This window comes from Homo sapiens, chromosome 1 (assembly GCF_000001405.40).
Source record: "Homo sapiens chromosome 1, GRCh38.p14 Primary Assembly".
Taxonomy (NCBI): domain Eukaryota; kingdom Metazoa; phylum Chordata; class Mammalia; order Primates; family Hominidae; genus Homo; species Homo sapiens.
Window position 1 is genome coordinate 41,338,342 of NC_000001.11, and position 22,591 is coordinate 41,360,932.

At 47.7% G+C, this 22,591-nt stretch overlaps 2 annotated features.

The window, feature by feature from the left end:
* Positions 6,119-6,178: an enhancer, noted in NCBI's record as "active region_862". NCBI's record gives its function as "activates an Ori minimal core promoter by ATAC-STARR-seq in GM12878 lymphoblastoid cells {active_cell/tissue: GM12878}" and the evidence as "EXISTENCE:reporter gene assay evidence [ECO:0000049][PMID:35858748]".
* Positions 22,499-22,568: an enhancer, noted in NCBI's record as "active region_863". NCBI's record gives its function as "activates an Ori minimal core promoter by ATAC-STARR-seq in GM12878 lymphoblastoid cells {active_cell/tissue: GM12878}" and the evidence as "EXISTENCE:reporter gene assay evidence [ECO:0000049][PMID:35858748]".

Here is a 22,591-nt window from a genome sequence, read left to right on the forward strand (position 1 = left end):
AATCTACCTGCTTGCTATTTGTTCCATGTATTGTTTCTTCTCTTTTCCCTCTTTTTCTGCCTTTTTTGGATTGGATATTTTGTGACTTCATTTTATCTCCTTTATTAGCTTAATTAGATACAACTACTTTTTAGTGGTTACTTTTGGGTTTATAGTGTACATCCTCAATCCCAAACCACTTTGAGTAATATTATACCACTTCACACAGAGTAAGAACCTTACAACAGCATGCTTCTCTTTCCTCCTTCACAACCTTTAGGCTATTGTTGTCATGTGTTTAATTTCTATATATGTTATAAACCCAGAGTACTTGTTGTTTTGCTTTAACCAATAAATTATCTTTTAAAGATACTTTCAAAATAAAAAAAATTCAATGTTTTCTCACATAACTACTTTTCCAGAGGCCTTTATTCCTTGGTGTAGATTAAAATTTCCATCTGGTGTCATTTTTGCTTCTGTCTCAAGGACTTTCTTTAACATTTCTTGTAGATCAAGTCTGCCATTGATGAATGTTTTCAACTTTTTATTTTGGAAAAAGTAATCATTTCTCCTCTGTTTTGAAATATATTTTCACTGGGTACAGAATTCTGGGTTGACAGGTTTTTTCATTATTTTTTTACCTTCTGTACTTTAATGATGTTATTCCACTGTCTTCTTGCTTGAAATATTTCCAATGAGAAGTCTGCTGTCATTCATTGTTCTTTTGTATATGATGTGTCTCTTTTTCTCTGCTACTTTTCAGATTTTCTCTTTATTACTGGTTTTAAGCAATTTAATCATTACATGCCTTGGTGCTTGATGTTTGTTGGTATTTTTGAATCCATGGTTTATGGTTCGTATCAAATATGGGAAATTATTGGTTATTTATTTAAATATTTTTATGCTCCTCTCCTCTTTGAGAGACTCTTAACTACATATATGTTAGACTGCATAAAATTATCCCACAGCTCACTGATGAGCTATTCACTTTATATATATCTATATATATCATTATATATTTTTTTCTGTATTTTATTTTAAATAGTTTCTATTGCTATGTCTTCAAATTTACTAGTCCTTTCTTCTGTGTTAATTCAAATCTGTATTAATTCAAATCTGCTGTTAATGCCATCCAGTGTCATTTTTCACTGCAGACATTGTATTTTTTTATATCTAGAAGTTTGATTTGGGTCTTTTCTCCCCTTTCTCTCTACTTAACATGATCAGTCATTACTCTAGTTTTCTGAGCTTATGGAATACAGTCATTATAATTGTTTTAATGTCTTGTATACTAATTCTATCTTCTGTGCTATTTTGGGGTATGTTTCTTTTCTTTTCTTTTTTTTTTTAGATGAAGTCTCACCCTGTAGCCCAGGCTGGAGTGCAGTGGCGTAATTAACCTCTACCTCCTGGGTTCAAGCAATTCTCCTGCATCAGCTTCCAGAATAGCTGGGATTACAGGTGCGTGCCACTGCACCTGGCTAATTTTTTGTATTTTTAGTAGAGACAGGGTTTCACCATGTTGGCCAGGCTGGTCTTGAACTCCTGACCTCAGGTAATCTGCCTGCTTCGGTCTCCCAAAGTGCTAGGATTATAGGCGTGAGCCACCACACCTGGCCAGGTATGTTTCTATTGCTTAATTTTTTATCCTTATTATCGGTTGTATTTTTCTGTTTCTTTGCATGCCTAGTAGTTTTTTGTTGGATGTGAAACATCATGAACTTTACCTTGTGTGCTGACCATTTTAATATTCCTATAAATATTCTTAAACTTTGTTCTGGGATGCAGTTAAGTTACTTGAAAAGTTTGATTTTTTGAGGCTCACTTTGCAGCGTTCTTAGGCAGGACTACTATGTTTCCTCCCACTGTTAAAGCAATGCCCTTTTAAGGAATCTGCTTGATGCTTTGTGATTTATGAAGTTTTCCACTCTGGTTGATAGGGAGGCAAACCACTCCAGGTCTTCGGAAACTGGTTCCTCTGCTCCTTTGGGATATTCTTTTCTTAAACCTGGGTAGTTTCCTCACATACAAATACTGTTCGATATTCACCCGAAGGCTTTCAGGGGGCTCTCTGCAGATCTTTGGAGCTCTCTCTCTGGGAAGCTCTCCTCTCCAGTTCTCTGCCCTGTGAACTCTAGTCATGTTGGCCTCTCAGCCTCTCTGTTCTGTCTCCTCCACTCAGGGAGCTATAATAGCTTGGATGCTACTCCTTGTGCTGCAGCCTGGAAACTCTCCCCAGGTAGAAGCTGGCAAGTGTAGGGCTTACCTCATTAGTTTCTTGTCTCGGAGGAATTGCTGTTTTGTATTTGCCTTATGTTCAGTGTCTGAAAACTGTTGTTTCATATATTTTATCTAGGTTTTCAGTTGCTTTAGGAGAGAGGGTGAATCGACTCCCTGTTATTTCTTCTGTCCAGAAGCCCTGTAACTACATTTCCACACTTAATTATCACACATATCTTGTATATTAGGTATGATTATCCCCATTTTATAGATGAGGAAAGTTGAGTCTTAGGGATTAAGTTGTAGTATACTAGAGTTGAGAGGTAGAATAATGTAACAGATAAAAAGATGGACTGTGTGGCCAATCTGGGTTTCAGTCTCAGATTTCCCACTTCTTAGTTATGTGACCTTGTGCAAATTAACCTCTCTGTGCCTCAGTTTCCCCACCTGTAAGAATTCAGATGCTAATAATAGAAATGACCTATAGAATTGCTGGGGGAATTAAATGAGTAAATATATAACTGGCTCATAATTACTATATATTAGCTATTATTAACAGAGTGAGTAGTTAACCATCTTCAGCTGGGTGACAGGAACACCCATTTTGAACTCCAGCTCCATCACTATCTTACTCTGGAAACTTGGCCATGTGTATCAGTCAGGTTTCAATTAGAGAAACAGAACCACTAGGGGATTCTAACCTGAAACATACAGGAAAGGGAATTCTGGGAAACGTAGTTCAGCTGAGCCTAGTTGACAATTACAAAGACATCACACCATGCTACCTAGCTGCTCTGAGGGCTTATTTCCTTGTTGGTGAGATGGGACAGTAACACCTCTCTTTGGATTAAATGGGATAGAACACATGAAGCATTTGGGTCTGGCACAGGGAAGTGTTCAATAAATGGTTCTTAGCATAGCTGCTCAGGATCCCACAGATAATAACTGCCAGAGGAGTGATCTGAACTCACAGTTGTTGTCCCTAATGCCTAATGCTCCTCCCACTTCACCCTGCCACCTCCTGTGCTGGGCCTGAGAGTGTGGAAATGAGTAAGACAAGTCCCTGCTCTCAGGATCCCATATTTCAGTAGGGGGTAAGCCAGGGACACAAATAAATACAATATAGGTCAGGAAAAGGAAGGCAGACACCATTAATGGGGGATTTCTATAAGACTAGCTCTGAGCTGGATTCCCTATACAGGGGAAGGGAAGGATGCAAGGGTTGGGGGGTGAATGGTTTGCTGCATAGGTCCTCTGTGCCAGGCTCTGTAGTAGGAAGTTTACGTGATGATCACATTTAGTCTTCACAATTAAAGAATGAGCTAGATATTATCCCCGCAATACAGATAAGAGAACTGAGACCCTGAGAGATTAAGTCATTTGCCCTAGGTCACAGAGTGACCAAATGACAGAACCCCTGCATCCCAGGAGATGGCTAGAGTGCAGTGGAAGCTGCAGCTCAGGGTCTGTCCCCCGGGTCACTGCCAAAGAAGGGTACTCCCCCTGAGCTCAGAAGCCAGGGCTGGCTATTTAGCCCCCTCCCGGGCCTGCCCCTTGCACCTGTGTGTGCCCGTGGGCGGTGGGCCCGTGGTGGCTGCAGTGCCGTGGTGGTGGCAGCAGTGGCGGGCGGCAGCAGGGAGACAGTCACACCTCGCTGTTTTGTAAACTGTTTCTCACAGCTTGTTTGTTCCGGGTTAGGGCTGGAGCGGCACCGTATGGAAGTGTGACTCATTGTTTAATGTGGCAGCTCATTAGCAGAGCTTGTTGCTGCCTCTGATTTCTCTGCTCTTGCTAATTGGAGAGCCCAGTGGGGCCCTGGCTTCCCGTGAAGAACCAACCCAGCTTCCCCAGGGCTCTAGCTGGCCCTTGCCCCTCCAGGCTCCCTGAGGAGGCCACCCCATGCCTGTGGGCCCTGGGATCAGCCAGACTGGGTTCAAATCCCAGCTCATCCTGGCTGTGTAACCTGGGATAAAGCATTCCTCCTCTCTGAGCCTCAGTTTCCTTATCCACCTAATAATTGGGAAATAGCACCCACTTCCTCGGGGTAGGCTAGAGACACAGTAATAATGTGTGTAAAGTCCCCTGGTATGTATAGATGCTCAATAAGCAGTTTTGTAGTGTTATTATTATTAGGCTGAAACCTCAGAGAGCCCCTCTGTTTTGGCCTACCTGGGGCAGCCACCCAGCCCAGAGGTGCTCCAGAGGCTCAAGGTGTGAGGACCTCTTCCACTGCAGATAATCTAACACATTTCTTTCTTCCGTGCTTCACCCCTCCCAAGGCAAATCTGCCAAGGGGCCCCAAATGCCATTCCCTCTCTGTGACCCCAGAAAAGGAAGCACAGCCTGGCTTTGGAGGGCCCTGGGCCTTCCTTAAAGTGGAAGTCTGCTCCCTGGAGCTCTCCCTCAAATTTCAGCTCTCCTCTTTGAAGCCACACAGAACACATCTGTCCCCAGTGTCCCGTGACTGTCCTTTGCTATTTGAAGACAGTGATCACATCCCCTCTCCAAGTCTTCTCTCCAGGTGGAACATGTCCAGTTTCTTCAACTGTCCCTTAAATGACATAGCTCATATGCCTGCTGGACCATACCATCAGTGGTGACCTTAGAGTTGTGCAATGCCGTGACCTCATTCTGAGTCCCTTCCCCAACCTCCTCATGCTCTGAGTCTACTCCTCTTTGCTTAGGTGCCTCCTGAGATGTGCAGTCTAGAATTCAGCTCAGTCCTCTGAACACGATAGGGCAGCCCCATCTCCTACTACGTCAAGACCTGTGCTATCCAGTGATAATATAATGTGAGCCATGGGTATAATTTTAAATTTTCTAGTGGCTGCCTTAATAAAAGGAGCTGGGCATGGTGGCATGCGCCTATAATCCCAGTGCTTTGGGAGGCTGGGGTGGGAGGATTGCTGGAGCCCAGTAGTTCAAGGCTGCAGTGAGCTATGATTGTGCCACTGCACTCCAGCCTGGGCAACAGGGTGAAATACCATCTCAATAAATAAATAATAAATAAGCACCCATCTTTTTTAAAAAGTAAAAAGAAATAGGTAACATTAACTTAAAAAATATTTTCACTTAACCAAATGTAGTCAAAATGTTATTTCAGCATGTAATCAGTATCAAAAAATCATTCATGAGATACTTGAAACCTTTTTTCATACAAAATGTTCAAATCCGGTGTGTTTTTATACTTAACAGAACATCTCATTTGGACTAGCCACGTTTCAGGTGCTCGGGAACTCCACGGAATTAGTGGCTCCAGTGCTGAGCAGTGCCGTCCAGACTCTACCTTTGTTAACATGATCTGAACTGCTGTGGTGTTGTAGCTGACACATCACTCTGGTTCAGGAGGAAGGAGTCATCAAGTGCCTAAGGGCTGGGGCCTCTGGGTGGTAGGCAATCGCGACCCCAGTCTTGGTTTCATCATTAGTTCACTATGTATGTGATGTCGCTCTTCCTTTCCAGGCCTCAGCATCCTCATCTGACAATCACGAGGTGGGAAGAAGAAAGCAGCGCCTGCTCGGTGCCAGGAACCCCCCGGGGCGCTCCCCATGTGCTGTGTTACATGTTTCTTGGAAAGCCCACTGTTTTAGGTTTTCTTATCTCTGTTTCATTCCCACTTGACCCTGAGACTTCCTCCAGGGCCTTGTGGACTCATAGCTGGTGTGTTGGTTGCTTCTGCCCTCCTGGCCACCATGGATACCAGTGGGCTCAGTTTTAGGCATGCAGCCCTCAAACCTCTTCCCTTCCTTGTCATGACTCTTTCCCTAAGTCGTAGACTAAGGACAGTGATGGCAGTGTTTTGATACGTGTCTGCAGGTGGCGGGCTCCTGCTGGATGAAAACGCCTCTGCCTGCCCAGGTGTCTGGTCTGTCACTTGCAGAGCCGTCCCTTCATGGTGGTGGTTGTGAGGCCAGGTCCCAGCCCCTCCCTGTGCCTGGTACTGTTCTGCTAGAATGTATTAGAGTGAAACCCAGACATCACATTGCCCACAGCTTCCTCCCTCATTGGCTTCCTCCCCAACTCCTCACATCCAGCTTACTTCTCCTTCCTGACCACAGGCACTCGTTCCCGTCCAAGAGCCACCTGTGTGACTTTGAGAACATCACTTCACTTGACAGAATCTCCGTGTCCATGTGTGAGATAGAGGAGAATTCCACCTTCCTCCTGAGGTTGGTGAGAATGACAACTGAGACTGTGTGATATGTGATATGTGACCGTGCCTCGCTCAGTACTTGGGGTAAATGTTAACTGTGACTGAATCTTTACCAGTCATTTTAAGAACAACTTAGCCTTACTCTCCTAACCTGAACCCTCTCTGGGGCTCCTCTGTGAGCTCTGCATGGCTTTCCTCTCATTCCCCAGCCATCTGGGTCTTTCTAGACTAGCCGGGAAAGCACCCCATCACTTCTGAACAGGGAGCTAATTGGCAGATGCCCACTTCCTTCCAGGAAAAGCCACTAAATCATGGTGCTGAAGGGGAGCTTGGTGGTCATGCTGGGGATACCCCATCACCAAGACAAACCGTCTTCGAAAATAAGACAGATGTGACTTCTACTGTGAATCTGTCTTTTCTTTTTCTTTTTCTTTCTTTTTTTTTTTTTTGAGACAGTCTGACTCTGTCACCCAGACTGGAGTGCAGTGGTGCGATCTTGGCTCACTGCAAGCTCCACCTCCCGGGTTCACACAGTTCTCCTGCCTCAGCCTCCTGAGGAGCTGGGACTACAGGCGCCTGGCACCATGCCCGGCTAATTTTTGGTATTTTTAGTAGAGACGGGGTTTCACCGTGTTAGCCAGGATGGTCTCAATCTCCTGACCTCGTGATCCGCCGGCCTCGGCCTCCCAAAGTGCTGGGATTACAGGCGTGAGCCACTGCGCCCGGCCTACTGTGAATCCTTCTAAAGTCCATTATACCCTTCCCTGTGTTTCCAAAAGAAGGGTAACTGACCTGAATGTAACTTTTTCTTGGTGATTCAGGACCATCATTAGGGATCAATATTTTTATATTAAAATAGTGGAGAACACTAACCTTTGAGTGCCCATTGTATACTGGGTATCTTATGATGTCATCCAATTCTTATGCAACCCTGATATAAAGTTTGGATATTATCTCCTTTTTGCAGATTAGGAAACTGTCTCAGAGCTATTTAGAGGCCTGCCAGGGTTTCACGGTCTCATACAGAGAGGTTCAGCCCCTCTCTTCCTCTACATTGCCTTTCGAGAGCCTTGAGGTTCCATTTTGAGGGCCCCTGGCTGACTCACAGTTCTTACGTGAGCTTTACAGGTTGGCCTTGCTTGGCTGGGCGCTGGTAGTATATACTCAGGGCAGTCACTGCCTCACTTTTTGGCCTGCACTGGCCTGAGAAAGCATGTACTGTAGCATATGCTTTTAGGCCTTTGATTTCTTGACCTTTCCATGACATATGTGCTATTTACTAGTTCCTTCTTTAACCACTCTCTTCTGGTTCTCATGAGTTCACTCTTTCTGAGCTTACTGGCTGCTCCTTCCCAGAAGCTTCCAGTCTGCCCTGGTTTTGCTCCCCCTAACATCTTGGTGTTCTTCAGCAGCCCCCTTTGGCTCTCTGTTCTTTTCATATTCTGCTCCAGCATCACCCTTGGGGTCTTCACTCCCCACCAGCCATGGTTTCACCACCTCTGTGCCAAGGACTTCCAAGTTTACACCTCCTGTCCAGACCTTTGCTCAGAGTTCCAGACTGTGGCCTCATGACCACTACCATATCAACTGCCTGCCAAATGGACTTCTTCCCTGGCTGACCCACTGGCACACAAACTCAGCTCCCCCAAACTGAATCCATCATCTTCCTCTGAAGCATCCACCCCTTCTTGTGATCTCTGTCTCAGTAACCACCCCTTCCCTCTGCCCCATGCCTTATAATAATACCGGCTAATATTTCTCAAGGGCTTACAAAATGCAGCCTCTGTGCTAAGTGATTCCATGGCTCTCACTTGATCCTTAATCAATCCGGAGAGGTTGGCATTATTTGATTGTCATCCTCATTTCACAGATGAAAAGAGGGAAACAGAAGTTCCTGGCACATGGTAGGCACTTGACAAGTGCTGGTTCTTTCTATGGCTTTTTGTTTCCCAACTATCTAAATTCATAAATTAAATCCACTATTCTCTTTTTTTTTTTCTGGGTCTGTTTTTTTTTTTTAATTTTTATTTTTGGTTCTGGGGTACATGTGCAGGATGTGCAGGTTTGTTACACAGGTAAACGTGTACCATGGTGGTCTGCTGCACCTATCTATGTATTAAGCCCGCATTAGCTATTCTTCCTGATGCTCTCCCTCCTCCAATCCACCCACCGACAGGCCCCAGTGTGTGTTGTTTCCCTCCCTGTGTCCATGTGTTCTCATTGTTCAGCTCCCACTTACAAGTGAGAACATGCGGTGTTTGGTTTTCTGTTCCTGTGTTAGTTTGCTGAGGATAATGACTTCCAGCTCCATCCACGTCCCTGCCAAGGACATGATCTCATTTCTTTTTATGGCTGCATAGTATTCCATGGTGTATATGTACCACATTTTCTTTATCCAGTCTATCACTGATGGGCATTTGGGTTGATTCTAATGTCTTTGCTGCTGTAAATAGTGCTGCAATGAACATATGCGTGCATGCATCTTTGTAATAGAACGATTTCTATTCCTTCGGGTATACACCCCGTAATGGGATTGATGGGTCAAATGGTATTTCTGGTCCTAGATCTTTGAGGAATCACCACACCGTCTTCCACAATGGTTGAACTAATTTATGTTCCCACCAACCGTACACAGCAGCTGTTCCTACCTGGGACATCTCTGGGTGTCCAGCTTGCTCAGTGACTCTAGCTTGGTAAATGAATCACCCAGGCTGGCTTCTTGTTCTGAGATATCTCATCCAAAGATCTTTCCCAGCTGAACTGAGACTCTGCCTCAGGAGGCAGCTGCTGTTGGTGAAGACAGGCAATGTGCAGAGAGTTACACAGGAACCCAATATGAGGCATGCAGCCACTAAACCTGCCCTTCCTCTCTGCCACTCCTCCCTCAAGTAACACCCTCAGGCAGGTGATAGCAGTTTTCAGGGTGTTTTTTCAGGTGGTGATCTGCTAGATGAAAACTGTTCTACCTACCCAGGTGTCTGGTCTGTCACTTCAGAGCTGTCCCACCCCGATAGTGGTCGTGAAGCCAGTTCTCAGCTCTTCCCCTGTTACTATTACCACTATTGTCACTGTCATCCTCACGACAATCCTGTGAAGTAGGTTTTTTTTTTTTTTTTTTTTTTTGAGACAGAGTCTTGCTCTGTCCCCCCAGACTGGAGTGCAGTGGCATGATCTCGGCTCACTGCAATCTCTGCCTCCCGGGTTCAAGAGATTCTCATGCCTCAGCCTGCCAAGTAGCTGGGACTACAGGCACTTGCCACCATGCCTGGCTGATTTTTTTTGTAGTTTTAGTAGAGACAGGGTTTCACCATGTTGGCCAGGCTGGTCTTGAACTCCTGACCTCAAGTGATCCACCCGCCTCAGCCTCCCAAATTTCTGGGATTACAGGCGTGAGCCACTGTGCCTGGCTGAAGTAGATATTATCAATGCTACCTTATAGCTAAGAAAATTAGGGCTCAGAGAGGCAAAGTGACTTTGCCAAGGACACAGAGCTAGAGCCAGGATCTAAACCAGGCCTGTCAGGCTCAGAGTATGTATGCTTTCCACATTAAGTTTCAGGGAGTTCATTTGGTCAAGGAGAGTAAAACTAAGTTATTCTTAAACTGACTGTAAAATGTAGGCATCCAAAAAAAAATAAGTCTTGTGAAGAAAAAGTCACAATGAACATTTACCCTAAGACGAGCGTTGTGCAGACACTGGGCAAGACACGTTCACGCATAGGGCCTCACTTGTCACTCCCACCAGCCCTGTGAAGAAGGAGGAATTCTCCACCATTATCCCAGGCCTGGAAATGGAGATTCTGTCAAGTGCAGAGATTTGTTCAAAATCCCACAGGTGACAGGGGATGCCCTGGGATTGGAAGGTGAGTCTTTGAGACTCCAAGCCCAGTGCTCACTCCTCCCACAAGACTGTGGTCAGAAATGAGGAGCTATGGCAAATAAAGTGGAAGGGGGGAGGTTTGGATGACGTGGTATCTGGAGTTTTACTTTATTATTTTTTAATTTTTTATTGAAACAGGGTCTCACTCTGTTGCCCAGGCTGAAGTGCAGTGGCACAATTATGGCTCACTGCAACCTCGACCTTCTAGGCTCAGGAGATCCTCCCACTTCAGCTTCCTGAGTAGTTGGGACCACAGGTGTGTGCCACCATGCTCAGCTAATTTTTGTAGAGACAGGGTTTTGCCATGTTGCTCAGGCTGGTCTCAAACTCCTGAGCTCAAGCGATCTGCCTGTCTCAGCCTCCTGAAGCACTGGGATTACAGGTATGAGCCACTATGCCCAGCCTAGAGTTCCACTTTAATATATCTGGTAGAGCAGGAACAGGCACAAAAATCAACTTTTTTAGTTAGGGAAACTGAGGCTTAGAGAAGGACAGCTGGAAAGTAGAGATGCTGGTATTTTGCTTGAATCTGTCTGACTTTTAGGCTTTTGCTCTCTTCACCACTCCACACTGTGGTTGCCAAAGCCAGACACCTCCTCCTTCTGACAATCTCTTCTCCAAGCCACAGCCTGAGGTCCACTGGGAACTCTGGGTCTTTTTCTCTCAGGTGGAAAAGATTTGAGCCTCTTTGCCTTACAACCCCTAATAGTGTCAGGCACTGTACTAGGTAATTTACAAGCATTTATTCATTTAATTCCCATAACAAGCCTGTGAGGTAGAAACTACTATTATCCCCATTTTTATGATGAAGGATCTCATGCCTGGAGAGGCCATATGATTAGAAGTGAGGGAATGGAATTTGCATTGGAGACTGACTCCAGACCAAGTTCTTCACTGCCGGGGTTGAGTGTAGATTTCACTCTCTGAGGTATATAATGCATGAGACCTAAAGACCAGAGTCCAAAGTCCCAGCTACCCTGTCCCTATCCATGAATTCCCACCCCCTCCTAAAGACACCCCTCATGCCCATCTTAACACCATGGATTAAGTCCTACTTCAGTTAGAGACTTCCTTTGGCCACCTTCGTACCTAATCCAGCTCTCACAATTACCCTCAAGAGAGGCATTATTGCTTCCATTTTCCTGAGGAGGCAGTTGAGGCCCTAGGGTCTCACAGCGTGGGTGTCAAGCTCCGAAACCACCTGTCTCTCTCTCTAAGACTCTTGCTCTCCCTGCTGGGGAGCCATGCGGGAGCCTGGGAAATCAGCTACTCCAAATCACGATTCCTGAATTCTGCCCCTGCCCATGTGCCTGACCCCCTCCCCACACGGAGGAGGGGCATTGGCTCAGTGATGTCCAAGGCTCCCTCTTTATCTCACAGCATTGGGTGCTGTCTTCATGACTCCATCAGGGCCCAGCTCTGGCAGAGGACCAACCTCCTGAGTACATACGGCTGACCTTCAGGCAGCTCTGGCCACCCCTGTGGCTCCACAGGGGTCCCAAGTCACATCCCTTCTCAGGGGAGGCCAATTCCCCTACCTCTGATTTCTGTGGGACCCTGGGACCTTCTCCAAGGCCCTTTCCATCAGACTCCATGTCTTCCTATCCCTTGCACTCATCAGGCCTGTCCTGGGGCGGTGGAAGTCACAAGGCCAGGCTGCTGGACCACACACTTGGCACCAAGTCACTGGACTTTTCACCGAGGCTCTGGTTGGGGCACTCATTCATTAATTATTCACTCAAGTACATGCCTTCTCTAGCAACTCTTCTTTTTCCCTTCAGTATTTTTAAATTTATTATAAAAATATTCAACAATATAAAACTATATAAAGTAAAAGGGGAGGCTTTCCTCAATCCACAATATCACTCTTGATTGGAACTAACTACTCTTAACAGATTTGGGGAATCCTTCCAGAAATGTCTATATGTGTGCATATATATGTGCAAATATAATGCACATGTGTAGTATTTACAGTCATGTAATCATATGACACATGTTACCTAGCATGCAATAGGCACTGTGACTTTTCCATCACTTCCTTTCTTCCTGAGTGTTGTCTCAGAACCACCTTTCTGTGTTAGTCCATAGAAGTCTACTTTATTACTTTTGAGGGCTGCGTAGTTTTTCTCTGTGTAATTGTGCCAACAGCACAATCTCCTTCAGATGACCTTCAGTGTTTTCCTATTACAACTATGGCTGTCACTTCCTGAGTTCCTATCATGTGCCTGTCACTACGGGAGGCCCTTTATGTACTCTTTTTTTTTTTTTTGAGACAGGGTCTCGCTCTGTTGCCCAGCATGGAGTGTGCAGTGGCTCACTGCAATCGTGACCTGCTAGGCTCAAGTGATCCTCCCACTTCAGCCTTCCAAGTAGCTGGGACCACACGTGCGCACCACCAAGCCTGGCTAATTTTTGTATTTTTTGTAGAGACAGGGTTTTGCCATGTTGCCCATGCTGGTCTCGAACTCCTGAGCTCAAGGGATCCACCTGCCCCAGCTTCCCAAAGTGCTGGGATTACAGGTGTGAGCCACTGTGCCTGGCCTACATACATTTTTTTAATGATATGGCATTCTTATTCTTGGATACTTCATGCCCAGCATATAATAGGTGCTCAGGAAATTACTGGAAGACCTAGCTCAAATGTTTCACCTCTGTGAAGCCTCTTATATTCCCTTTCCCTGTTCCCTCCCATCTCCCATTCAGGTCCTGCACTGGGCCTGACAGAGGAATGAGCAAGGCAAAGACCCTGGCTAGAGAAACTCACAGACTATAAACAGGCCTGGAAACAGAAAATTACAGCAGAGAATGGGAACAAGAAGCATACACCAGGAACATAGGAAGACTGACTGATACATTTGTGATGGTTTCTCGTATGTGTTAGCTTGACTGGGCCAAGGGGTGCCCAGATGAGATGTTATTTCTGGGCGTGTCTGTGAGGGTGTTTCCAGATGAGATTAGCCTCTGAGTTAGTGGACTCGGTAAAGTAGATTGAGCTCCCGAATGTAGGTGGGCATCATCCAAACTGTTGCAGGCCTGATTAGAACAAAGAGGAGGGAAGGAGAGGATTTGTCTCCTTCCTGCCTGCCTGCTGCTTGAGCTGGGACATCGGTCTTCTCCTGCCCTTGGACTGGCATTTATACCAGCAGTTCCCCTGGTTCTCAGGCACTTGGGGTTGGGCTGGAAACAATATCACTGGCTCTCCTGGACCTCCAGCTTGCAAGGGCAGACTGTGGAACTTTTTAGCCTCCATAACTTCTCAGTCTCCATAATTGTGTGAGCCAGTTTCCTCATTATCTATCTATCTATCTATCTATCTATCTATCTATCTATCTATCTATCATCTATCTATCTATCTATTCATCAATCAATCTGTTTAATCTATCTCCAGTTGGCTCTGTTTCTCTGGAGAAACCTAAGGCATCATCCAAAGTGATCCAAGGAGGCTTCTTAGAAGAGGTGACAGACAAGCTGACTTTCAAAGGCGTTGGTCAGGGATGTGAGAAAGCTGCCTGAGTTCTGTCTCACCCTGTATGTGGATTGACTTCCTGTATCTGTACTACTTTTCCTCCCTCATCATTTATGCCTCTACTTCCATAAAAAGGGATTTGGGTAGATTCTGATTTTTATAAAATGACACATACAATAAAAATACAACCATTAAGTAAGGAAAAGAAGTAAGAACTTTGTAATACAACGGGAAAAGAGAATGAACTACAAACCTACACTTAGAATAGTTCCTGTGTTTGATACAAGATTTAACTCTGTGCTTCCCAGCAGGCAAGAAGGTAGCATATCTGCACACATTGCAATGTGGGGACGGAGGGCCCATCCAGTGACATCAGGAGAGCGCTTGCTCACCCACCCCCTCTCTATTGATTTGTTCACTGTGTTAATGGCTCCCTTTTGTGTTTGGCTGGTCAGTGTTTTGAATTGGTCTTTAATTATATCTCATGCAAATGACTAAGGCATATGGAGAGGTTGTGGAGCCAAAAGTTTAGAAGCACCTATTATGTGCCACTCCTACTACTCTTCTCTGCAACATAAATAGAGGAAACTGAGGCTCGGAGGAGTTAAGTAAAACACTGGTCAAGTTGGCCCAGGGGCCCACATCTCCTGACCCCAGCATAGGCTCTTTATGAGTTTGGATGGATGAGATCTTTGGATGAGATATCTCAGAACAAGGAGCCAGCCTGGGCAATCCGTTTGCCAAGCTAGAGTCACTGAGCAAGCCAGACACCTACAGATGCCACAGGTAGGAACAACTGCTGTGTACTCTAGCTCAGCTTGAGAATAGTTGGTTTAATTTATGAATTTAGATGGTTGAAAAACCAAAAGCCATAGAAACAATCAGCACTTGTCAAGTGCCTACTATGTGCCAGGAACTTCTGTTTCCCCCTTTTCATCTGTGAAATGGGGATGACAGTAAAATAATGCCAACCTCTCCTGATTGATGAAGGATCAAGTGAGAGCCATGGAATCACTTAGCACAGAGGCTGTACTTAATATGTTCTTGAGAAATATTATTGTTATTTTCTTTTGTCTCTTTTTTTTTTTTTTTTGAGATAGAGTCTCGCTGTCACCCAGGCTGGAGTGCACCGGCACAATCTCAGCTCACTGCAACCTCTGCCTCCCAGGTTCAAGTGATTCTCCTGCTTCAGCCTCCCAAGTAGCTGGGATTACTGGCGCCCACCACCAGCCTGGCTAATTTTTGTATTTTTAGTAGAGACAGGGATTCACCTAAAGTGCAGGCGTGAGCCACCGTGCCCGGCCCACCTCAGCCTTCTGAGTAGCTAGACCACAGGCACTGGCCACTGTGTCTGGCTAAGTTTTTGATTTTTTTGTAGGGACATTGCCCAGGCTTGTCTGGAGTTCCTGGGCTCAAGTGATCCCACCACCTCGAGCTCCCAAAGTGCTGGGATTATAGGCGTGAGCATGTTGGCCAGGCTGGTCTCGAACTCCTGACCTCAAGTGATCCACCTACCTCGGCCTCCCAAAGTGCTGGGATTACAGGCATAAGCCACCACATCCAGCCTGTCATTATTATTATTATTATTATTATCATCCTCACAATAGTCCTGTGCTGTTGCTGCCAACGCCAGTGTTGTCTTACTGCTAAGGAACTGAGGCTCAGGGAAATGAAATGTCCAAGGTCACCAAGTTACAGCCGGGATTCTAACCCAAGCCTTTTGGGCTCAATTCCTGCACTCTCCATGTTAAGGGACAGAGGCCAGGAGATCAGGAGATAAAAATGAAGGTTCAGGAAAAGCATGTTAGGCAGGTAGGCCTAGGATAAGCACGCACGGCATGAGGTCTTTCTACTGGGTGAGAGGGCCTCTGAACGGCAGCTGCAGAGAGAATGTGGGCGGCACACGTGGCTGGCCTGGGCCCTGCGGGTAAGAGTTGTGGTCATAGTGGTGGGGCCCTGCTCAGGCCATGCCTAGCACCCAGAGGAGCAGCAGAGAAGTGACTGCAAAGCAGCCTGGGGCCGGAACCAGGTCCCAGGGCGGTCAGACCAGCTGAGGGACTATCGGCTGGTTGATGAGAGTTTACAAAGGGTAGGATGACAGCATTGGTGGGGACCACATTTTTGGCTTGTCCTCACTTACTCTAACCCAAATATTAAATTGCAGTAATTAAAAGTAGAAGTTAAGGGTGTGGGCTAAGCATGTTTCACACAACACAAAGGGGAGAAGAGGGCATGCCCCCTCTCTGCCAACCTGTCTGCTCCATTTGGCCTGGGAAGTCTGTGCCCCACTTATTTGGCAACACCCACCTGTGCAGGCAGCAACCAGGTGAGAGAAAGCAGCTGTAGCCATGAAAGCGTTGGCTTCGGGGCTGGAAAATATGGGCTGAGGTTCTGGCTCTGTGACCTGGGGAAATTTATTTTACTTCTCTGAGCCTCTGCTGTCCCTTCTAAAATAATCCCAGGCTCTAGGATTAATTTAGGATCAAGTGAGAGCCAGGGACTCACTTTGCATAAAGGGTGCACTTAGTAAGTGCTTTGATACATTATTTTCTCGTCATTGTCTTAGTCACGTGGGCTGCTATAACTGGGTAGCTTATAATCAACAGAAATGTGCCTCTCACCTTTCTGGAGCCTGGAAAGTCCAAGATCCAGGTGCTGGCAGATTCAGTGTCTGGTGAGGGCCTGTATTCTGGTTCATAGACTTTGACTTTTTGGTCCAACCTCACATGACAGAAGGGGCAGGGGGTCTCTCTAGGGCCTCTTTATAAAGGCACAAATCCCATTCATAACGGCTCCAGCCCCAAGACTTAATCACCACACAAAGGCCCCACCTTCTAATACCATCACCTTGCAGGTGAGGATTTTAACATATTAATTTTGGGGCGGACTTAAACGTTTCGACCATAGCAGTCATTATTATTATCATTCTCACAATGGCACTGTGAAGTTTCCTCAGGAGTGCTGCCTCAGTTTCCCCATCTGCAATGGGAATAGCTGTGGCTACTCCAGAGTGTGGCTTTCAGGATTAAATAAGATGGAACACACAACACAGTGCCTGGCACACAGGAGGCCTTTCCTCCCTCCCTCCGTCAGCCACTTCTGCAGGGCTGGTTGTTCTAATTATCTTAATTCACCAGGAGGCGCCAGCCTCTCTACCAGGGTTCCCTGTGTGGTGGGGCCCTGAGACCAACAGTCAAGTTGAGGAGGTGGTGACGCTGGCCATGCATCTAGAGGACACAGGGCAAGGCCAAGCTGTCAGCCAGAGAGAGAAATACTTACAATTTTTCAGAGGCCACATAGCTCCTTCCCTACCTCATTATCTCCTTTTATTCTTGTACCTCCTCTGGGGGAGTGGGATAGATGTGATCTTCATTTTGCAGATGGGGAAACTGAGGTAAGTAACCATTCCATGGCTACACAGTGGGTCCTTAATGGAGCTGGTACTAGCTACCTCCTTCCACAGTCACCTACCAGTGCTGGGGCTATGGCCGCCAAGGGGAGAAGCAGCAAGTCTGGGGGGTCCTCACAAGTGGAGGCTTACTGACTTGGGAAGGTCCACTGCCTCCATGGCCTGGTGGGGATTGGGAGGGCCTGGTGGGAGGAGGGAAGCTGGAAGGGGTAGCTTTCTCCTAGAAAGCTCACTCCCTTTTCAGTGACTTCTTATAGTGATGGTTGTGTCTTTAGAGTTCCAAACTAGTATTTTGCAAGGAGGTCTCAAGACTCTGTGAACATCACCCTCAGATGGAAGCTTCGAGAGTATCTGCCTAGGTCCTCCACCCATTTGACTGATGAGGCAACAGAGTTCCAGAAAGAAGTGACTTAGCCAAGAGCAGGGCCAGTAGCAGAATACTGCAGCCCAGTGTTTTCACACCACTGTTGGAGGCCCTGGGGACAGGACAATCCAGAGGAGAGGACATTTGGGCAGGACATGGCAGGCAGTGAGGCCACAGTGAGATACTAGGTCTTATTCTGCCGGGCACTGCCATCAAATCATCACTTATCTTTTCCCTGCAACAACCCTGGGAGGTCGAGGTTGTTGTCCTCACGTTACAGGGTAAGAAACAAGACGACTCAGAGAAGGCCAAAGTCAAATAGCTTCTTCGTGAAGGAGGCAGAATTCAAATCTGGACCTGCCTGTCTCCAAATCCTACACATTTTCTATTACATCTCTTGCAATGGGTTCCATAGTGGCCCCCCAAAATTCTTGCCTTTCCAGGAACCTCAGAATATAGACTTGTTTGAAAATAAAGTCTCTGCAGATATAATTAGCTAAGTTAAAATGAGGTCATTCTAGAATGGAATGGGCCCTAAATCCAATATGGTAGGTGTCATTACAAGAATAGGAAAGATACAGAGATGGACAGGAGATTGCCATGTGAAGACACAGGCGGGGAAGAACACCATGTTGAGACCGAGGCAGAGACTCGAATGATGCGTCTACAAGACAAGAAACATGCAGGATTGCTGGCAACTGCACGAAGCTAGAAGAGGCAAGGAAGGATTCTCCCCTAGAGCCTTCAGAGACAGTGTGGTCCTGCCAACACCTTGATTTCAGACTTCTAGCTTCCAGAACTGTGAGACAATAAATTCCTATTGTTTTAAGCCACCCAGTTTGTGGTACTTTATCACAGCAGTGCTAACAAATTAATATACCTCCTTCCCATGGTACAGAAGGGGGGTGACATACAGGCATCTTAGCTCCCAGGTGTGGTCCTGCCGAAATTTAGACTATCAGGACAAACCCAAGGCAGAGGAGGAGGACGAAGGACATGTGATGTTTGACATACTCTTTGCAGGGCTTTGTGCTTGGCACTTCACATATGGGATCTTGATGTAAGTGCAGCCATTCCCATTTCCCAGATGAGGAAACTGAGACTTAGAAAAGGGAAGTTACTTGCCCCAAGCTCATTTTTTCCCTGCCCCGCGGTGCTATGCAAGGAGCAAACCCAGACTCTAGTTTGAGTTCCAGGGAAGTAAGTTACTCACTTCCCTTCTCTCAGCCTCACTTTCCCCATCCAGAAAATGGGAATAATACTTTCTGCCTCTCAGGTGGTTGTGATTTCTTTTCACATCCCTTCACTCAACAGATATTTACAGAAGGTCTCCTCTGTGTCAGCCTCTGCTCTAGGCCCCAGAGACACAGCAGTGAACGAGATGTGCCCAGTTCTTGCTCCTAGGAGTCTGATTCTTTTGGGTAATGCCTGTCAGGTGCTCCACAGGGGCCAGCACTTAGTGAGTGCTTGGGGAACCTTATGGGGATAAGAATATAGGATTGAATGGGATGGTGTGCAGAATGGGCTTGGCCTGTAAGAGGAGCTCACTTTGGCATTCATTTCTTAATCACTATGCCAGTGATTCTCTACCCTGCCAGTGGTGGTACAGCCTCCTGGACAAGGAAGGTACAAGGTCCTTTGGGCCTGGGCTCCATGTTCTTGGGCACCCAGCAGTCGCTGCTGTAAGCTGCCTCCCCAGAGCCAGCAGAACTCTCTGCCCAGGCCTGGTCTGTGGTCTGTGCAGGCCGCCGAAGGGGCCTTGGGTCTTCTTATAGGGGCTGCATTGCTGCACTGTCCCCCTCAGCTGAGCCTCCTCAGCTCAGCCCCACCCACTCCCTGTCACTGTCCCTGCAGGGGCCAGGCCTGAGCCTGTCCTGGAGGCGCTCCCAGCTGTCCTGATATCCCCTCTGGCTTCTGCAGACACTCCCCCTTTCTGCCCCTGGAGGCCTCCTCTGGTCACCAGCCCCTTCCCCTCCCCTCCAGAGGTGTCCCCAGACATCATCTCTGTGCTATTCCTTTTTCCTGGCAACGGTGGCATTAAATATCAGCCAGGCTCTGCTCAGTGCTGGCAGGGTGGGGGTTCTTGATAACCATGTGGTTTAGGGGAGGGTCTTCTCAAGCTCCTGCATGATGGGCTAGGAATGATTGGGTTGATTGTGGTCTGGCTCTGTTCCCAACTCACTGCACTTCCTTGAGCAAACCTCTTCCTTCCCAGACCTGGGTTTCTCTGAGAGGCAGCCCTCTCTGCTTTCAGCCGGGGGTATGAGGACCAGGGCACACAGGTCCTGAGCAAGTGGCAGCAGCCAATCCCAGGATGGCTGACTTTTTCCAGGTGGGCTCTGGGGATGCAGCGCAGCTATGCCCATCAAGCCTCAGAGAAGCGCGTCCTCCTGTCCTCACTTGCCCTGAGTGAGCCGGGAAAGCTGGCAGCAAGCACTGGGAAGCAGGCTCTGGCGGGCCCTGATGGCTCAGCGGTGGCAGCAGCAGTGGTGGCAGGGGCTATTCTGAGCGCTGGGAGGGGCTGGGGAGCTGAGACTGGAGGAGGGGAAGTGACAGGGAGGAGACAGTCTCTTGAGGGCGAGGGGAGTGCCACCTTAGCCCCGGGTGGGGGGTGTCTGCCGATGGCAGTGTGTGTTGGGAGAATTGTGTGGTGTGTGCTCCTCACTGGGAGTGGGCGAGTCAGCTGAGGTATTGAGGCATGCGCTGGGATTGTTTGAGTGTATGTGTACAAGTTTTGTGATCCAAGCACGAGTTGAGTGGGTAACGCGCACATCCACCTGCCTGTGGGCAAGTGAGTGCGCGTGCACTGGAATGCGAGCATGTTCCAGTGTCCAGGGAGGTGTGAGTGAAGAATATGTGCCTGCATGTGGAAAAACGAGGAATGAAAGGGGAAGCAAGTGGGGGCTTGTTTGTGAACAGAAATGAATGTGGGCGTGGTAGGGAGGGTGGATGGGAGCTTGAGAGCCAGCCTGGGGGAGCGGGGAAGGGTGAGAGCTGGTGGTCAAGGGAACTGTAGGTAGAAACCATGGGTCTGTGTAATTGAGACACAAGCGTGAGGCACGTGGCGAGTGTGCTTGTGAGTGAGCCTACATGTGTGAGCGGCTGTGAGTGTGTGCATGGTAAGAGCAGGTGGGACTGTATGAGCTGGGCAAAGTAGGAAGGGAAGGTATGTACACACAAAAGCAGCAATAAAAACAGCTAGCATTTATTGCGCGCTTATTCTGAGCCTGGTGCTCACATTCATAAATGTATTTAATTTTTCAAATATCCTGTGAAGGTAGTGCTATTATGGTAGTCATTTGTAGAGTAGGAAAGAGTGGCTTTGAGCAGTTATGTATCTTGCCCATGCTCTTAATCACTATGTTATACTGCCTCAAAATGAATGTGTGAGCAGGGGCCAAGTTGTGAGTGAGAAGAATGTGAGTGTGTGCCATTGGGTGTGAGTTTGAATGTGTGTGTGTGTGTGTGTGTGTGTGTGTGTAGGAGCTGAGTGTACCAGACATGGGCCTCAGAGGAGAGTCCAGGCAGCAGCTGTGGACACCGGGCAGGGCAGGGGCCTGAGTCAGCCTCTAGTGCATCTCTGCCAACCTGGCTTCCCAGACCCATGTTGGCAGCCTGTGCCAGGGCCCCCAGCTAAGGATCCTCCCAGCAATGGTATGGCCCTCAGCAGGCCTCTGCCTCACAGCTCAGAGCTGGGCCAGGGCCGCAGACTGGCGGGAGGCTTGCTCGGTCTCCAGGGTCCCTTAGGGGAGCAGCTCCCAGTATGGACTCCCCAGGCATGGAGGGCATACGAGTGATGTGGTGGTGGGGGGTGGATTCAGCAATGATTTCAGGCTCCTTGTGACTCTAAACAGAATCACCTGGAGGATGTGTGTATGTGTATGGATCGGAGGGGTCGTCAGCCAGCACTTCCCATGCCCACCCTTGCCTTGGGATATGACTCAGGCAAATGCCACGCCAGGCATCTGCAAGCAAGTCCTGCTCCCACCCTGGGGAATGAGGAGGGGCTCCTCCAGCCCCACCCCCACCCTCACCCTTGGCCCTGCTCCTCAGGTCCTAAACTGGAAGGAAGAAATTTTTGAGAAAGGAGGCCATCTCCCATGGCCTGGGCTCAGCCCTCCCACTGCCCAGAGACCTTCGCATCTCCAGCGTCCTCAGGAGCAAGGTACTGGCTGGTAAAGAAATCAGGAGCTTGAGATTCCAGTCCTGGCCATGCCACCAGGGGAATCACCTGCTCATTCTGGGCCTCAGTTTCCTGATTGGCAAAATAGGAATATTGTGCTAAAGGGGCACAAGGTGTTGCTGGCAGCTCAACAAGTGGTCTGGGCAAGCAGAGAACAGAAAGTGTTGGGAGTTGGGGCTAGAGAAGGTGTCAGGGCTAAGTTGACATTTGCACGGAGCTTTGAAGAGTGGGAGAATCTCTGATGAGGGCCTTGCGGCGGGGAAATGGTGTTCTAGGCAGAGGGGATAAATACCCTGAGCGAAGGCCAGCAGGTGCAGTGGTGACTGGGAAACCTAGCTCAGCAGCCTGTAGGATGAGGCCACGGACTGCCCAACCTCTCGGCTAGCCTCGCCCTTCTGAGCTCATGTGATGATCTGATTAGCATCTGACTCCTGACTAGTCTATGCAGTAGGGGACCTCATTTGTTTCAGTTGCTGCTCTCACTGTAGAGCCCTGGACAGTGCCTGGTGCGTCAGAGGTGCTCAATAAATATCCAGGAACTGATTGAGAAGCATCTCCCCAAACACTGTGAACTTTAGACAAGTGCTTGTTCCAACAACCGCAGTAAGAACCTCCCACAGACTCTAAAACAATGGTTTGCAAGGTGTGGTCTCTCGTGCATCACCTGGGAGCTGGTTAGAAATGCAAAGTCTGGGGCCCCAACCCAGACCTGCCGAATCAGAAACTCTGGAGTTGGGGTCCAGCAATGTTAACAAGCTCTAGGGGATGATTCTGCTCTGCGTCAAACTTTGAGAACTGGAGCTCTAAAACTATGACCACAGGCACCATGAAGAACATGTTTGCGGATGGAGGAGCGAGAATTGTGGCAAAGCCTAGCCTAGAACCCAGGTATTCTTGACCCATTCTTTTTCCCCAGCTCAGTCCAGGGCACAAAGAAG